The sequence below is a fragment of the Homo sapiens genome, chromosome 8 (genome assembly GCF_000001405.40).
Source record: "Homo sapiens chromosome 8, GRCh38.p14 Primary Assembly".
NCBI lineage: Eukaryota > Metazoa > Chordata > Mammalia > Primates > Hominidae > Homo > Homo sapiens.
In genome coordinates this window covers 127,530,594-127,550,545 of record NC_000008.11, presented here as the reverse complement: position 1 = coordinate 127,550,545, position 19,952 = coordinate 127,530,594, and the positions used below count along the sequence as shown (strand labels likewise).

Sequence of the window (19,952 nt, the reverse complement as noted above, 5' to 3'; positions counted from 1 at the left end):
AAATCCATTTACATCCTCTCAACAGCGTGGGCTCACTTTGCATCACTTTACATCCATAACTAGGCAATAAAATTGGCCTCAGAATCCTAGTTCAGGTTTCACCAAGTAGGGTAATACCAGAAGAAGCTAAAATGAGACAATGACAAGGAAGTGAGACATCCCTTCTCTTCTATGCGCTCATTAGGAGGCTTGGGTGGAGTTGGGGGAAATTTCCTCTTCTCTCTCCCCTAGGTGGGGTAGATCAAGAAAGAGAAGCTAGAATGTTGGCTTTTTTTATTTTTATTTTTAATTTTTTTTAGAATGTTGGCTTTTTAATACTTTAACTATATAGCCTGGTGACCCTTGGCTTTCAAAGGGAGAAAAATTTTGTCAAGGGTTTCTCCTTCCTCCTTGGCTATCTGCCCTGGGCCCAAGGATACAATGCCTCAGATGCTTTCATTCAACATGTATCTACTGACATCCATTAGATATATGTTGGTCCTTTCAGAGCTTCATTTATTGAATGAAGATGATAGGGTAGCTGACATGGATCAATTGTTCACTATTTGCTGGACACTGTACCAATCTCTCAGCCTACATCATCTGTGGAAGTCCACACAACAACCCTTTCGGGTGGATACGCTCATGAGTATTGCTTTCTAGATGAGGAAACTGAGGCTCAAAGACGTCATTTCCTCAGGGTCACAGAGATATAAGATGTTGGAGCTGGGATCCAGACCTCAAAGTTTGGCTGCAAAGCCTATGCTCTCAACCACAATTGCTTCTTCTGTTTATTGGTGGTTCCCAGTGAGGGGAAGAATGAACTCAAATGGAAGGTGTAGGCCTAATCCTCAAACCTCATACCAAGAGTAAGCACTTTTAGCTTCATTTTACAAATGGTGAAACTGAACATTTTATGACTAGACTGTGATGGATGGTGGTGGTGGTGTTTCATTTAAGAAATTCTTAATTGACCATTGAACATTAATCACATAGATGAGGCATGAACAAACATATTTGGAGGTAAGTATCATGACAACATGATTTCTTTTTGTTTATTTTTCTGTTTATCTTTATTTCAAGTGCAAAAAAGCAATTAAGATGTAATTTAAAATTACTTTATAAGAAAATAGCTTGTTAAATGCTGAGATTGCATGTTAAGTAGTTGCAAGTTAGGGTCAAAATGTCATCGATCTGAAAATTGTTGTCCAGCTTTGCAATTACTCTGAGCTTTGTGTCTGAGCTCTTTCTGACAAATCAGGAAACAAGAAATAGCTCCGGATATACTGGTTCCTGACACTCCATTCCAGTCTGATATTTGTGATGGATTTAATTGACATCAGAATTCTTAAAGGACACACTGAGCATTTTGTACAATTTGTACTGCCACACCATCCTGCAGAGTAGAATTTTATCAGCTCAAAATAACTTGGCATTTTAAATCATTTCAGGACCTCTTTTGGGCAGTTACTTCCATCTCCAAATAACACACAAAATTAAAGCTTTTAAATTATTACTTAGTAAGAACTTACTGACATATCATTTCAAAGTATGGTGTAAAGGGAAGAAAATAATGAAAAGGGTTATAGAGATGGGGGAAGGTTGTGATTTAACCTTCCTAGAAAATATGGGGGCTCATCTTATACAAAGTTTACATTCTTAATAACTCCTTTTGTTTTTTCTAATCTCTTTATGCCTTAGTTTGCCTTTCTCATATTCTACCAACTTGTTCTACTTCTTTCCCCACTAAATGTAGACACAAGAAAATCTCACTATTTCCATGCATTGTTGGGGAGACAGTGTCTTTTTAAGTAGCATTACTCTTGTTTTACCCTATCTTTGTTGAAGATACTAGAACTGAGCTACCTGTTGTGATAGCCCATTAAAAATGATAATAATAACAGCTACTCCTTACATTGTTGAAAACACATTATATATATGAACTTGAATTAAACTTTGTAACAACTCTCTAAGGCAGATATTATTATTGTGCTTATTGTGTTGATGAGGAAGCTGAGGTACAGAGAGCCTCATTTATTCAAAGTCATGTGGCTAGTATCCCGCAAAGCTGGGATCTGAATTCTGGCAATCACTACCCCACCTTTGGTTAAATGGGATTATTGCACTAGCAAGTCCACCAATGAGCCAGCCAGTATTCAGTTACTCTACCAGAGCCTCTGTCACTAGTGGCTTTTTTTATTCGGGGGTGGGGGGAGGTGGTGGGATCTAGTATATATTGTCAAGCACACAGTTTAGAATATTTCCACATTAGAATCCTTCCCTGTTCTCTTTTTGAGAGCCTGGTGCCAACACTCCTAGCTCCAAGAATAGCTCTTGGAAAGTTCTTGCAGCAATTGCAAAAATATTCCTTCCCTCCCTCTTTCACTGGCTGGTTTCCAAGTCTTACGTTATGAGTTTGGGAGTCCAAATAGTGTGAACCTGCAGGCTAAGACACAATCTGGAGTTCCAAAAGAGGGATACTTTTCGGCAGCTGGATGCAAAAGAGAGCAAAGTCATGTCACCTGTATCCTGCTGAATTTTCCTCCTACAGAGAGGATACAAGTACTTACACAACATCTTTCTCCAAATGTTCAGACAAATTGCTTGTACAATAGTTAACAATGTAATTCAAAGCAGAAGCTGAAATCCTCATGCAGATGTGCTCCATAAAGAGATATCCCTGAGCTTTCAAGTATGTGGACATGATCTCTCCTTTCATTATTGCCTTCTTATTAACTATGTTTAGGCAGTTATATAACCTTTTAGGAGCCTCAGTTTCCCCATCTGTAAAATAGGATAAGATTAGCTTTTCTGCAGGATGATTTAAGGTTTATGTCAGGTATTATATATAAAGAATGAAATTGAGAGCCTGGTATATAGTAAGCAGCCAATAAATGCTCCTGTATGTCCATTTGATGATGTCTGTGTCTATTTATCTTTTCCATGCTCTGGCCAATAGCTTTTCTCTACTTTGAATACTTGCCTATATGGACATTGGCTCATCGGAAATAGAGTCTAGATAAATGCATGTGAGATTCATTGGTTTCTACAGGCATTCCTTGTGTGCCTAGAACTGAGGTAACTTCTGGGAGGTGGTACTGAGGGAATTTAAAAAGGGAGATGAGGTTGTCCTTGCACACAAAGAGTTTATTCTCAGATCTGGGAACACACAAGGAAATTAATGAGAAAAAAGATTTTTAAAGCTCAGTAGCCAATGGATATTGTGAAAACGATGTAATTGTGTAAATAAGTAATTGCTGTGCTTCCCCCACTTGGAATCCCCCCCACCTCCTGATCATAGACACTTGTGTCTAATTCATCATGTGTTACAGTTTTACATGTTTCCTGTGTTGGGTCCATACCCATCTTGCTGCATGGACTAGTGTTCTCCAACAGAAATGTCACGTAGGCCACATATACAAGTTTAGATTTTCTAGTAGCCTTATTTAAAAAAAAGTATAAAGACACAGATGAAATTAATTTTAATAACATTTTTAACCCAATATGTTCATATTATTAGTTCAATTAGTAATCAACGTAAAAATGATTACTGTGATGTTCACATGCTTTTTTGTCATTTGAAGACCAAGTCTTCAAAATATGGAATGTATTTGACACTTACATCACATCTCAATTTGGCCTGGACACATTTCCGTGCTCAGTAACCATGTGTGGCTAGTGGCTCCCATGTTGGGCAGGGAAGAGCTAGACAGCAGCTCCCTTGAGGGAGAGGATATTTTATTCTCCTTTGTGTCTCCACTCTATGCATCTTTGTACCTGGAATCTGCCTTATGCAAACTTGGTGTTCAATACTTTTGTTGTATGGGTTTGAGTTCCATTTTCACACTTCTGCACTTGCCATCTTACCTGACTACTTTTCTCGCCACTGCTTCATTGAGTGACACTGTCTTCATTTCTCAAAAGTTGCCTATATGCCCCCTTCTATCACCCTGAACCCCTAACTAGCACTGGTCCATTGCTGGAGTCAGTGAGAAACTTGTTAACAATGCACCAAGTAATGGTTCAGTTTAACCCTGCTGTATCTTCAGGATCTTGTGGCAGGCTGTCTTCAGTCCTGGAAATCCCACTTAAAGAGTAGAGGCTGAGAGATTGGAACCAGTTAAAAGGAGAGGAGCAGAGAGTGATAAAAGGTTGCCAGGGTGGGATTTATGTAAAGAGGATGAGAAAGAAGAGCATGCGAGTCTGCAGAGGAGGATGAGCCAGGTGAGGTGCTCAGACTCTGGCAGGCACATGAAAGGATGTGCCAAGGAGGACAGGGACCAATTCTCATTATCCAGTAAGCAGGGGTTGGATCACTGGCAGGACCATTGAGATTGCAAAGGAGACAAAATTCAACTGTAGGGAGAAAAAAAGAGGCATGTGGCATCAAATAGACCTCTGTCTGAAGCTACTCTATCCACAGTCTGTGACCCTGAGTAAATTACTTAATCTTCCTGGACTTGAGCTTTGGTGTCTCTATCTCTACAATGGAAATAAAATTTCAACCTTAAAGGTTATCTTGACTATGCAATGATACTCAAGTGTCTGCTGTGCGTGAGATGCCAACAAGAAAACTAAAGGAATTGAATTCATTTTAGAGAGAAATATTTCTTATTTTCAATTCTTCCAATTCCACCCCTCCTCCAACTCTTTGGCTGGCTTTGGAATTCTCATGAAATTAGATGTCAGTGTTTCCAAATGTCTGAGGAGAATACTATTAATGGTATGAAATTGTGAGAAGGTTGCTCTTTTTTGAATTCTCTTTCTATTTGCCTGGAGAGATTCTCAGTTTGGTATCACTCTTTAACACCTCTCCAACATTTGTTTCAGTCTTTCTCAAGGACAATAGAAAAGGGCTCAGGAACAAAGCTTTGGGTGGGCAACATTATCTGTCTGGAATTTAATAGCATAGTAAAGTTTACATAGTAATTTCTATTTAGGATAATTCATACTTAAATTCCATTTATTGCAATGCAACAGTTTTCTTGTACAGCAAAGTAATTTAAGATGAAAGTGACTCAATTAAATAGAGTTAGTTGATAATAGTATGTATGGTACAGTCCTGGTAAACTTGTAAAGATGCTCCAGAAATGGCTGAGGTTTGGGCAACCCCAATCCAGGCCAACATTGTACTTTTATGTCAGGAATTAGAGTGCCAACGGGGAAGTTTCTTGTTTGCCCATGGACAGCACAACTTGAATTCACATTGGAGCAAGATCTGCTCTGGGTTTTGGCGACGTGGGTGATAACTCCTGCCCTACCACCGCCATATCCCTTGGGCAAGTCACTTGCCTCTGAGAGCTTTTCTTTCTGCTAAATTATATTGATTCGTGGAGTCTTTTACTACTCCAAAACTTACTTGGGGATATCCCCAATCCTTTTGCCCTTTCATCTCAAAAATTCTAATGGAGGACTTCATTCTCTGGGGGTGGAAATGAGGACTGAGAAGGACAGGGGAAAAGGTTGCTACCTGTTCAGCCTCATCATCGTTCTTATCTGAGTGACTGGTTCAACGTCCCCATAGAATGGATTAAAGTGACAGCTCATTGGAACCAATATAGCACTGACTCCTTCAGAGGATGGTATGGGACTAACTCCTTGGACAGCAAACTTTCTCAGGATGGCTCTATATGCAATGTCTGCTTTTATTTTACTGATGGTTTTAGCTTTATTAATGACTTCCAGAATACAGGAACAATATTGCTATAGTTTTTCCTGCAAATGGATGTTTGATTGTGAATATTATTTGGTTAATTTTCAAACTCTTTTTAGTATTTAGTTATGGCTAATTAGAAAAGTTAATAATATATTCTTAGTCTGGGATATGTAGTTATCCTAGATATATAGAAGGTAATTTACCAATATAAAGTAACGCCTTATATTACCGTGGTCATATAGAGCAGGAGTCAGCAAACTTTTTCTCTAAAGGGCAAGATGGTAAATATTTTAGGCTTGCAGACCATGTGGTCTCTGTCACATTACTCAACTTTAGTATGGTAGCATAAAAGCAGCCATAGACTACATATAAACAAATGAGCATGGCAGTGTTCCAATGAAACTTTATTTACAAAATTAACCAGCAGAATGAATTTGGCACTCAGGCTATAGTTTGCCAAACCTTGCACTAGAATGTGTTCATTTTTATAACCTTTCCTCTATGCCACATGCACACACATACTCACATTCTCATTGACTTTGTTTAGGAAGCAAGATTGCCTAGTCTTTAAGGAGGGCTTGGACTGCGATAAGACCTTTCTGTGTACTCAACCTGATGTCCTGTGAATCATAAAATGAATTAAAATTTTGTGCCTTTTAGAACTCATAAGAATTAAATAAGATACAAATGTAATGTACCTGACATACGGTAACTACTCAGTAGGTATTATATTCCAAGCTCTAATCCCCATCCCACCCCCTTCCCCACCAACGTAATATCAAACCAGAATTGTAGAATTTATGTCTCCCTCACAAATTCCTTGTAGAACAGCTCTTTCCACCCTACGTGAGCCTGGGTCCTGCAGACACAATTTTCTCAGGTGCCGTGTGTGGCTATTCTCGGCTTTCTGACTTGCTCCTCTGAGTCTAGGGTGTGGAGAAAATCAAGCAGCCTCTTCCAGGAATTCAGTGGAAAAGAATTTCTAGGCAGATTGCCTAAAAGCTACACTGTATTCTTAGAAAGTGGCTGTTGTATCTGTTAAGAGTTGACTATGTGATACCATTGGCAGGAGTTGTTCTTTGAGGACTGAGCCTGGGTCTTAGTGCTCCAAGGGCTGTGAATAACAACAGCACCACCATTTCCATGACCAAAGACCCATACCGCCACCCAAAAAGTCCTGGGATGGGGTGCTTCTGCCACTTCCTACAATCTGGGGACACATTAGTTCTGCCCAATCTAAAGCTAAAAACAGTGGAAGAGAAACAGCAAAGAAGACAGGACTTCAGCAGGTGACGTGGGCTTCTTTTCTTCAGCTCTGCCTCAGAAGGGCCCTGTGTTAGACCAGCTGAATTCCATTCCCTCCCTGCCATGTTGGTACAAGACCTCCAGAAAGCTCACTCCCTTGGAGTCATGGAAAGGTAGAGCTGAAATGGCCTTTGAAAATGCTCTAGTCTAACTCCCTCATTTTCTAGCACTGGAGGTGGGGCAGGGGCAGGGGGTTATGTCACTTCATAAAAATCACACAGATGTGATATTAAAGCCAGATCTCCTGGATTTTTCAGTTCAGGGCTATAGTCACAGTGAGATATTTGAATTTGAGAATCTTCCTGTGATTTAGAAGGAATGCTTCTCCTTTCTTATTTTATAACCCAAATTACCAACGAGCCCCCTATACCTGTATATGTCTATAATTAATATACATTTTATAGAGGCGTATGTGTCTATGTGCATATATAATATATATCTACCTCTGGGTGTGTATGTAGAGGTATATAAATACATAATTTATATATTTACATATATAATTTATATATATATAATTTATATATATATAATTTACTTTATTCATAAATTTATTTTTCATCTACTTTGTAAACATTGAGTGACTTCTATGTTTCAAGTACTATAATTATGACCCTGGTAGTATGTGTGCATATACATGCACATGCATTCATGTGTGTGGTGGGGAGTATGCCACAATAGTAAGCAATTCACAGTACTGGCTCTCAAGGAATTTATAGTCTCATGGTTTCTGTAGGTAAGAACTTTAAAAGGGATTAGCTGGGCTGATCTTGTTTGTGGCCTCTCACTGGATTGTGGTCAGATGTTGGTTGAAGCTTCATTCTTCTGAAGACTTAATCAGGGCTGGAGGACACCTTCCAAGTTGGCTCATTCACAGAGCTAGAAAGCTGGTGCCAGCTGTTTGTTGGGGTCCTTAGCTCCTCTCTACAAGGACACATGAATATCCTCAGGGCATGGTGTCTGGTTTCCCTAGAGTGGGCAATTTATGAACCCCAGGTGGAAGACACAATACCTTTTATGACCTAACCTTGGGAGTCACATATCTTCATTTTTGCCATATTTTATTGATCACATAGCACTGGCCATACATTCACATGGGAAGTGTCTCCAAAAGATCATGAATACCAGTAGGTGGGAATCATTGGGGAACATATTGTGAACTGGCCACCACATATTCTAGTGGGAAATGTATGGATAATTATAATTATGTGTGGTAAATACCATGAAAGCGGAAGTATACAGTGTAAGAGAGCAAATCATGGGTATAAATAACCTTATCTGAGATTGGGGAAGGTGGCAGTAGTGATGTCATTAAAGTAGTGGTGTCATTAAAGACTTTTTGGAGAAAGTAGTATTCATGCTGAGACATGATAGTTGAGTAGAAATTGGACAGTTTGGTAGTGGATGGTGTGGGAAGAGTATTCCAAGCAAAGGAAAGAACATTCTTTGGGTTGCAGCTAGAATGACATTTCTTCCAAAACTCTAATCCCAGGAGATGCAGGACAAAAAAGAGCCCTGTGCTTAAGTAAGTTAGGAAAATGCCCATGCCTATGTGCTGAATGGTATTGCCTAGGTTTTCTTGTCTAAAACACCAAAAGCAATGGCAACAAAAGCCAAAATTGACAAATCAGATCTAATTAAACTAAAGAGCTTCTGCACAGCAAAAGAAACTACCATCAGAGTGAACAGGCAACCCACAGAATGGGAGAAAACTTTTGCAATTGACTCATCTGACAAAGGGCTAATATCCAGAATCTACAATGAACTCAAACAAATTTACAAGAAAAAAACAAACAACCCCATTAAAAAGTGGGCAAAGGATATGAACAGACACTTCTCAAAAGAAGACATTTATGCAGCCAAAAGACACATGAAAAAATGCTCATCATTACTGGCCATCAGAGAAATGCAAATCAAAACCACAATGAGATACCATCTCAGACCAGTTAGAATGGCGATCATTAAAAAGTCAGGAAACAACAGGTGCTGGAGAGGATGTGGAGAAATAGGAACACTTCTACACTGTTGGTGGGATTGTAAATTAGTTCAACCATTGTGGAAGTCAGTGTGGCAATTCCTCAGGGATCTAGAACTAGAAATACCATTTGACCCAGCCATCCCATTACTGGGTATATACCCAAAGGATTATAAATCATGCTACTATAAAGACGCATGCACACATATGTTTATTGCAGCACTATTCACAATTGCAAAGACTTGGAACCAACCCAAATGTCCAACAATGATAGACTGGATTAAGAAAATGTGGCACATACACACCGTGGAATACTATGCAGCCATAAAAAATGATGAGTTCATGTCCTTTGTAGGGACATGGATGAATCTGGAAACATCATTCTCAGCAAACTATCGCGAGGACAGAAGACCAAACACCACATGTTCTCACTCACAGGTGGGAATTGAACAATGAGAACACTTGGACACAGGAAGGGGAACATCACACACCGGGGCCTGTTGTGGGGTGGGGGGAGTGGGGAGGGATAGCATTAGGGGATATACGTAATGTAAATGACGAGTTAATGGGTGCAGCACACCAACATGGCACATGTATACATATGTAACAAACCTGCACGTTGTGCACATGTACCCTAAAACGTAAAGTATAATAAAAAAAAAAGATTTGTATTCCCCATTCTATTAATAAAATTGTGATTTTAAAAGGAAAAAAAAAGTTGGGAAAATGTGGTATACTGCACCTCTTATGAGAGATTAACAGTTCTCACTGATATCAATATCAAAAAGCTTGAGAAATTTTGCACTAAAGATAGCTTTTAACAAGTTAACCCTAAACTTACTTGGACATGGACAAATTTAATGTTCTGTGGAGCACATCATGGGAAAATTGCATTAGACAAATGTCAGCACTATCAGTTATTGCGAGATCCTTTTTAGTCTTTCTCGGTAACTTGGAGGGATAAGGGAAGAAGCTATGCTTGTTTTCTAAAGTTTTCTTACTTGAAGAGAAGGGAGCAGAGAATTCATTTATTTATCCAGTGTGGTAGTGAACATTCTTTTAACTGCAAGAGAGAAAATCTGATTTAAATAGGCTGAAATCAAAAATGGAGGATGAGGCCGGGCACGGTGGCTCACGCCTGTAATCCCAGCACCTTGGGAGGCTGAGGCAGGCGGATCACGAGGTCAGAAGATTGAGACCATCCTGGCTAACACGGTGAAAGCCCATCTCTACTAAAAAAAAAAAAAATTAGCCGGGCGTGGTGGCGGGTGCCTGTAGTCCCAGGTACTCGGGAGGCTGAGGCAGGAGAATGGTGTGAACCCGGGAGGCAGAGCTTGCAGTGAGCCTAGATCGCATCACTGCACTCCAGCCTGGGCGACAGAGCAAGACTCCGTCTCAAAACAAAACAAAACAAAAATGGAGGATGATTAGCCCACATAATAAAAAGGTCAGGGGTAGATCTTCAGTCTCAACTGGATCCAGGTATTCAAACCATATCAGCAGGATTCTGAGTTGATCTTGTTTTTAGCCAGTCTCTCCCCAGCTGGTGGCTAAGAAGACCACCAGCACCTCTAATTTGCCATATGCTAGCTTAATAGCCATGGGCAAGAATGACGGCTGATTGTTCCAGCAAAAGGCCAATGATGGACATTGATTGTCCTGGCCTGTGTCCTAGGCAAGGAGAATACAGTTTCACATATTAGCCTGATCTTGGGCAGGTGCCACTTTTTGCTTCCAAGAGTTTGAGGCAGCTCCACCCAGACAACATGGATTTAGAGAGAGGATGGAGGAGTGGTTCACCAAATGGTAGAGAAGGCTCTTTGGAAGAAGAGATCCAGGTAAATACAAACAAAGGTACCTACTACCACTCTCATTAATTACTTGATTACTTATTAAGTATCAGTTCTTGGCTATACACAGGGAAAGCACCGACTGATGTTAAACCTTCTTTCAAAGGACATGGAGTCATGAATGCCAAAGAGTGACCCAGGCTTCATCACTATCTGATGACTTTACCTCTACACCCAGTCTTCCAATTCAAGAGTTCCAATTCATGCCTCAGAAGCTGCAAATGACATCTGACTCTCATACAGACAAAATGACAAGGGTCTTCCTGCAGGTACTAAGGGTCTGATAAGATTATAGTGAAATATTCTAACAAAGTATGAAGGCTGTACCAAGGTTAGAGAGAAGGAGGGAATTCCTTTTTTCCTGACCAGTGGTTATCAACCCTCTCTAGATACCAGAACCATCTAGGGAAACTAAATAAACATTGGTGCCCTTCCATCACAGATTTTGTTAATTAGTCTGGGTTGGAGGCACTGGGAATGGGTCTTTTTAGAAGTGTTCTAGGTTACTGAGATGTGCAGCCAGATGGAGATCCACTGCTCTAAAGACCATCGGCTGCTTGTGGGCAGGAGCTGTGGTTTGTTCACCATTGAATCCTCAGTCTCCAGCACAATGCTTGTCAAACAGTAAGTGCTCAAAAATTATTTTTGAACAAATAATGAGGAACATACATAAGCACAATTCAATGCCAAACTTTGGTTTCTCCCTCTCCTGCATACACCCTTTGCATCCTGACACTCAAGGGACAGGTCTTCTCTGACGGGGATGATGTATCTTCCAAGTGCAGTGTGCAGAAATCTTGTGAATTCTCACAGCACTGTGGTGAGGAAGGTTTTTTTTTTTTCCCCTTTTCCCCACTTAACTAACAGGGCACTCAATCAGAGAGCACACAAATGATTTGCCTTAGGGCCTCCGAGAGGAATAATGGTAGGTTTGTGGGGTCTCTGATGCAATTATAAGTAAGCTGATGGAAAGAGATTAAGGCTGCAATTTGGAAATGTAAAAGGTTAATACAGGCTAGATGTTTTTGTCCCAAATTTGATTTCTGGGACAGCTGACCAATGCTAGATTCACATTACCTCCAGTTTAGAAATGTCCTTTGTGTCAAGACTGCCTGGAGCTGCTGTCAGATTTTCTCAGCTGCTCTCACCCACCCCAGCTGTTCCTCTGGAGTATCCAGTGAGATGTAGATGATTCTAGTTCTTTCTGGATCTAGAGAGGCCACTGTTTGACAGTCCTGGTTTCAGAAACTGGTGGGTTTAGAATTAAGCTCCTTGTTGCACTATTTCTGAGGGGCTGGCTGTGGGGTCCAGGCCAAATAGCCACAACAAAAGGTACTGGCCCCCAAATTGGGGAAGGGGGTACTTCTGTTAGCTCCTTTCTGCTGGACTTCATAGGTCCTTGGGAATTGACCATTTACCTCTTCCCAAGGAACTGGTTCTCATGGCTTCTGGAGCTAGACTCCCTGGTTTGTGCTCTAGCTCCATTCCTACTAGTTATTTGACTTTTGATAGCTACTTAACCTGAGTCTTCATTTTCTCATCTGTTAAATGGGGATAAAGATCCTTCTTGAGTATAATGGCTAGGTTGGAACTTGATTGCATTTACCCTGTTTCTCAGGGATGTGGTCTCCAACCAGGTGCCATCTCCTGCTGCTGCAACTGTGGCCATAAGCTTCATTTCAGCAAATTTTCTCCCATTTGCACCCACTCCCCCTTTACTCCTACTGCTTTATCAACAGCAGTGCTTTGAAGAATTGCTTGTTAGTGTTTGTCTTCATGGTCACACTATAAGCTCCCTGAGGGCTTGGCCCATGCCCGTCTTCTCAGCTCTGTGTTTCCTATGCCAAGCTCAGTGCCTGACATATGAAAGATCTCACTCAATTCATATTTATTAAATTGTCCTAATTCTTTGATGGGTGTTGTGGTCAATCCTGACTACTCACATTGCCATCTATGCATTGGGTACAAATAATACTGTCAGAAGGAGGAAAAAACAACAGTAGTTAAAATTAGAACAATTCAAACTCATATGTAATTGTTACTGAAGTTCACGCAATCACTGAAATTGTATCTCATGGATCCCTCTTGGGATGGGTACCTACAGAAAGTGGTAATGACTCTGTGAATTTGTTCTTACTCACCTGAGGGCCCTCAACATCCAAAGATTTAACAATCTAAATAGCAAAGCTTAATCAAGACTTGAAGACTTTACTCTCTGATCCAGATTCATGGGGCCTCAGTTCAGATCTCTGGGTTTTTTAGGGCAACTGTCTAGAATGGGAACTCTATGCTGATGTTGAAGATGACTCTCTCACAGAGTTAGGAAAGACTAATAAAAATGCTGTGTTTAAGGAACAGAGCATAATTTCTGGCACTCAATGAATACTCCACTTCTTCACATTGATGAACATGCCTTTCACTTAGTGTCATTCCTCATGTTGTATTTATTTGCTTATTCATTCACTTGGGCTCTGTTATCCAAATTCTACCACTATCTGTGTAAGTTTGGACAAGTTACTTGATTTCTTTGCCCAATTTCCATATCTGTGACATAGAAATGGTAATGATATCCCTTTTGAGAGTTGTGGAGAGAATTCAATAAGATAACACACATGACTGAAACATCATAAGTACTTTATAAGAGTTATTAATTAGTAATTGTCATTTTATTTGTTAGGTACTAAGTATAGAGTGTTAAATGTCTCAGAGCACAAGTGTGGACTAAGACTTGAGAACAGAATTAAGTGGTTATATGAGTGAGAGTTGACACACTTTGAGCATTTCCAGTATTCTCAAAAGTTTTAATTGGAGCCTAAAAGAATGCTAGTCCTTAGATAATTTCACATTCAAGTTGATAAAAAAGTGGGGTTGATCTTTGTGGGATGTGGCAAGAGAGATGAAGGCATGGATGTGTAGGCTGAACCTGGATCATAAAGTTAGGGTTGATGAGAGACAGGGGTCAGAACCATGGAGAGCTTTAAGAAGGGGTGGGGAGGGGCTCCACACACTGGGTGAAAAGAGTCCTGTGGGATTAGAGGCTGTTGCCCCACTCTTTTCTTCACATTGACATCTGTATTTCCAATAGTGAGTCCTCAATGGAAACAATCTTTTCCTTGAAGGAAATATCTGCTTCTCCTTTGTTCTGGAGATGCTGTAGAACATTGTTCTTCCATCACATAAAACCTTTTATTGGAAGTTTCTCATGAAAATTTTTATTTAGAGGTATGTTCAAGGAAAACACCTATCTCCTTTTGCCCTATGGATAATAAAAGATATACCTTCTGTCTGTATTTTCTATTAATTTCTGGCCCACAGGGAGCTCAGAACACAAATCTCATCTCAACTGCAGCTAATGGTAAAAACTTTATGATTGTTGTTTGCAGTCTCTTTCTCTCCCAAATCTATTAATTCTTTTATCTATCTTTTGTAATCTCCACCTATACTAATTTATATTTTTCTCTAGTCCAGGTTTTAGAATTTATATTTAACAATTTTATTTTGTATTTTTTTTTTCTGTTAGCATCTTCAGATCTGTCATGGGAAAAGTTGGGCTCTAAAAAATTAGCTAACTGAATAAGCAAACATGTTCCTTCTTACAGGAGGACTTGATGAGTAAAAGAAGCGAGGCAAGGACGAATGGAGAGTATGGCTAGATAAACAACCTCAGCAGGCACGTTATCACATGGACCAGAACTGTATGTGTGATTATTTACAACTCTCCAAATTACTCTTATTTCTGACTACAGAGTTCTATTTCACGTAACTTGCACCTGTGACTTTTACCAGACTTAACAATTTGCTTAATTATTCTGATAAAACTTTTGGATTCTTCCTTTGTCTTTTCATTTAATTCCTGTTACTGACTCATTTCCAGCTCCTGGTCCTCATCTTTGTAGTCTATATTGAATACATGTTCATTCATCCATCTTCATTTAACTTCCATGATTGATTCCTGGGTAGTTTCCACTTCTGACCCTCATCTGTACCTGCTAATACCATTCTGTCCAAGGTTCTAAGGTTGAGCTTCACTCTTGGCCATAATTCTCCAGGCTACATGTTCAAATCCATACCACCATGGCAGCTTGAAACCTGCTTTAAAGAGGAAACTAGGAAAGGATGGTTATTTAGCTCAAGGGGATGTGCCTGGTCCTTGGGAGTCCTTAAGATCCACTCCAATTCTGAGGTTCTATATTAGAATAGCAAACAACAGGTAACATGCATTGCCTCAGTGCATCACCCACAGCAAGCACTCAGTGAACATTCATTCTAAAAATAATAAAAGAACTTACAGTTTTAGAATATTTACATTTTTTAAAAAAAATCGATCCACATATGTAGTATTTGCAGTTCCATGTCATGGATGAGAAAGACTGAGTCTCAGATACCTTAACTGATTTACTCAAAGTCAACAGTAGTAGGAAGTGAAGATTCCTTTGCACATGAGCACAGATATTCTGTTTCCAAAGTTGATTCTCCTCACATTGATTACATGGACACATTTGAAGAGAAGTAAGAAAAGAGATATTTTGGAAGGCAGGAGGGTGAACCACTTCATGTATTCCCTAAAATGTAAGAGAATCTTTAAAATATCGTATAGTTTCTCAAGAATGGGTACTGCATGAATACACCACTTGAAAGGGGGAAAATCTGCGTAGTCTGAGGATGAGAAGCCTTGCTTACAGAAAAACATTCTTGCTCTTCTTTAATTATGCCATTTCCAAAAAAAAGATAAGTATATATTATTACGCTTTTACCAATCCTGACAATTAAGATTTTAATCTGGATGACTACTAGAGCTTGTAATGAGATTGTATCCCCTATTAAAAGAATGATCCAGTAGTGTAATAAAAAACATTTCAGTTCTACTTAGTATGCTACCGGTCTTAGAGGTAAGTGCTAACGGCATTAACATGCATTCTAAGTGAGGAAGAGCCACAACAGAATGTTTATGGTGCTTGTAAGGTCTAAAGTACTTAGAATTAAAACCTCGTGGGGTTTATTTTGTATATTTTTCTCCAATCCAGTTGTTCCAGATTTGGAAATTTCAATTGTCTTTTTTTCTTTGTTAGTATATTTCTGAAAGAAAGTACTATAATTTAAAAAAAAACAAGAGCAGAACCAGTAATGTGCCAGCTTTTGATACATTGAAGGCTATTGGTAAATTCTCTAAGTAACATTATAATGAAAGACATCTTTATTATTACCTTGTATGTTTATTTTAACACCTTACAGTAAGTGAGATATCTTTTTTGATTTCTTCTGAATCTAAAGATTTTCAGTTGTTTTCAAAATACATTTGTCTAAAAGCTTTGCTGATAGTGACCTATTGTCTGGGAGTCGCTTCTCATTCTATGCCTGAATTTTCTTCCTGTACAAGTAGCCACAAGAGGAATTCTTTGGGGGTTGGGGAGCAGATAACAATAGACCTATCTCAAACTGACTGGCTAAAAAAAAATAATAGATCAAAAGATCACAGGTGATAATGAAATCTTGGAGTGTAACTACTCTGAGGGACAGCTATATCTAAAGGCTCTCTTGATCATGTCCTTGAGTCTTTCTCTCTCTCTCACTCTTACTTTCTACCCTCTTAGCTACACCACACAGAGAGAGAGCAAGCCTTCCTTAATTGTTTCTGCAAAAATTCTGATGAGGAGCCTCTTTCCATAATTTAGATCACATGCTCATCTTGGGGCCATTCTCTGAGACTTTTTCCTGTGCAGGCTGAAGCCACAGGACCACCCTTGGTGCAGGAGAGAAGAGCCTTGATTCCATCTGAATCAAGTAATTGACAGAAGGAGGCTTTGGTTCCCTGAAGAACAATCAGGATGGGGTAACAATCAGGACATTACTAGAAGAAGCAAGCTGAGAGGAGAGCAGTGAAAATCTCTAGATGTCCTTCATGGTAGCTGTCCATTATCTCCCTAGGCGCTGTCTTGATGAGCTTCTACCTCCTGCGGAATGTTAATTTTTGGATAACAATGAGTCTCAGAAAATTATTTCTGCCATTCAGGCAAAATCCTTCTGAACTTCTACTCTTTGCTCCAGTTTAAAGCTTTGGGACCATATAGAACACACCTAGTACTTTTTTTCACAGGATAATGTCCTTGATACATGGGAACAACAGCCTTGCCTCCCTGTAGTCTTTTTTTTGTTTGTTTGTTTAATGCCAAACTTCCCTTGTTCCTCAATCCTTTCTCTTATTTGAAGCTAGAGTCATCTTGGATGTCTTTTCCTCTACATTCCCCATCATACTTATCCAGTCACCGAGTTCTCATGATTCTACCTTCTAAACTAGCTCTCAGAACATCTTTTCTTCTCGATTTTCATCACCACTACTTTAGTTTGTGAGGTTATCATTTTTCACGGGAATTACTGCAAGGGTTCCCAGTGGCTTTCTTTTACTTTTAGTTTCACTGTCTTATTTCCATTATTTATTCTGCCATTAGAGTTATTTTTTCTAAAACATACCTCTGAAAAGGCACAAAACAGCACTATCAACTCAGAAGCTGCTTCTTTATACTTGGTGCTTGCATAACTCTTAGCTATGCAACAGTCCCACTATTCAGTATAGCCCTGTGTTTATTGCCATGATATTCTATTGCACACTGGCTCCCTCTACTAGAATGTAAGTTTCTAGAGGGAAGCGTCAATGTGGCATCCAACTCCGTCTCTACAGCTCCTGGAACATAGGAGTCAACATGTTCAGTAACGTTTCTTGAATCACTGTGGAATAGAGTGGACCTGGTCTGTTGGCCTCTCCTCATTCTGGCTGCTCTCCTTTGCACCATTGCTCTTGAAATGAGGTTCCCAGAACTAGGTCTAGTATACTTGGTGTGTTGTGATGCATGCAGCATAAGGTATAAGGATTCTTCCACCTTTCTGGTTTCTTTGCTTTAATGAAAGCAACATGCAGTCAAATTGATGTTTATGTCAGATTCATTATGCAGTCACCTTAACTGAGATAATTCTATGTTAAACCTAAGGGTTCCTTCCCCCCTCATGTACTGTAACTTTCAGACTTTTTTTTGCATAATTGATCTGTAGTTGTTTTAGAGTAGTTTCTAGAGTGCAACAGCCTATTTATTTTATTTTATTTTATTTTTAGGGAAAAGAACTGAGACTGAGAAAGAAAGTATATGTTAATTTTGGAAGTATATTATTTTCCATAGACCGGTCTTTAGTAATTTTATTTAAGTCTACACTGTGGTTTTCAACTCTGTGTGTTTGGGAGGGGGCAGAGCACTGTTACCCACCTAGGGGACATTTGGAAATGTCTGGAGACTGTTTTGGTTGTCACAGTCTATGTTTACGAGTGGGTGCTACTGGCATTTAGTGGGCAGAGACCGGGAATGCTGCTAAATATCCTACAGTGCACAAGACAGCCTGCACAACAAACAATTATCTGGTCCAAACTGTCAATGCTGCCAAGGCTAAGAATCCGATTTAAGAGCTAAAACCCACACCATTACCCCAACACATTGACCAGGAGAAATAAAACAAATACTTAAAATGACACGCTTGTCAGTGGTGGAACAGAGCTCTCAGTCTTTCAGTTTCTAATTGTTGTTGTTTTTCTAATAATGTTGTATCATGGGAATTATTCTCAGTTCATGTTTCGGGAGGTTAAAAAGAACACATATCTTTTGATTTTGTTTTTTCATCCTTCTTTCTGTTTTTTGTTGTTGTTGTTGTTTATTTGTTTGTTTTGTTTGTTTGTTTTGTCTCACTCTGTCATCCCGTCTGGAGTGCAGTGGTGTGATCATAGCTCACTGCAGGCTCAAACTCCCAGGCTCAAGCAATCCTCCCACTTTAGCCTCCTGAGTAGTTGGGACCACAGGTGCCTACCACCATGCCTGGCTAATGTATATAATATATATTCGTGGAGACAGAGTCTCGCTGTGTTGCCCAGGCTGGTCTCAAGTTTCTGGACTCAAGCAATCTTTCTGCCTTGGCCTCCCAAAATGTTAGGATTACATTAGGCATGAGCCACTGCACCTAGCCTCATCCTTCTCTCTTTCACCAAGAGCACATAAATACGGAGTGCTTTATCTTTTCTAAACTTGTCACTACACACTCTGGATTATTGGCTTCTCAATAAATATTAACCTTCAATTATTGTGTTGAACAAGTTGTATTATTGTGTTGAACAAGTTGTATTATTGTGTTGAACAAGCATTGACCAAGGACCCAATTAATATGTGCCATATGCTGCCCATAGATATTGAGTGAATCAACAAAGAGAACCATATATCTATTCTATTCCCAAGTCATGCACAAAATGTTATATTATCATTTTGCCAACTATGTCTTGTAATGTTCATCAAACATTCTAGTTCCCTGCATAGAAATAAGGGATTGAGATCTAATATTTTGAAAAATTTGGGGAAGATGATGATATCTAAGGCTTTATATTTTTCCTCAAGGAGTTCACACTTCAGTGGTAGAGACGTGCAAACAGACTAATTTCAACACAGCAAGAATTTCTGTGGAAGCAGTATGCACCAACTCTTACGATAATTCAGCAAAAGGGCATCTAACCCAGCCTGGGGGGTCAGGAAGGATTCTTTTATGAAGTAATATTTGAACTGAGTCTTGGCAAGGTGAAAAATGGGCAAGAAGAAGATTTGGAGAGAGAAAAGTGTATAATCAAAGACATGGAGGAATGAGATGCTTGTCTTGGCTCCTTACACTAGAACAGAAGCTTGGTTCAGAGAAAAGCCATTCCCTGTCTCATCTCTGCCCTGGGGAATTTAATCCTGCTGTAGATGCAGGTACTAAGAGAGCCTACTCCCGTTCTTCTCTAATGGGTCAAGGTTCTCAGGAAAACCTTATTCTATTTTTTTGTCTATCTGATTCAGACAGAAGTTATTAAACATTTCTGGCTTTTTTTTTTTAATCAGCCAGACACTCTGCTAGCTATTTCATATCCATGCTCTCCGTGTACTCTCCTAACAAAGCTTTGAGCTATATCTTGGATTAGAGACAGCTAGGCGTTTTCTGATTTCCACTTCCCACTTCTTTTTTTTTTCTTTTTCTTTGAGACAGAGTCTCGCTCTGTCACCGAGGCTGGAGTGCAGTGGCGCAATCTCTGCTCATTGCAAGCTCTGCCTCCCGGGTTCATGCCATTCTCCTGCCTCAGCCTCCCGAGTAGCTGGGACTACAGGCACCTGCCACCAGGCCTGGCTAATTT

The 19,952-nt window shown here is 39.7% G+C and overlaps 1 annotated feature.

Annotated features, from left to right (window-relative positions):
* Positions 234-283: a silencer, noted in NCBI's record as "silent region_19527". NCBI's record gives its function as "represses an Ori minimal core promoter by ATAC-STARR-seq in GM12878 lymphoblastoid cells {active_cell/tissue: GM12878}" and the evidence as "EXISTENCE:reporter gene assay evidence [ECO:0000049][PMID:35858748]".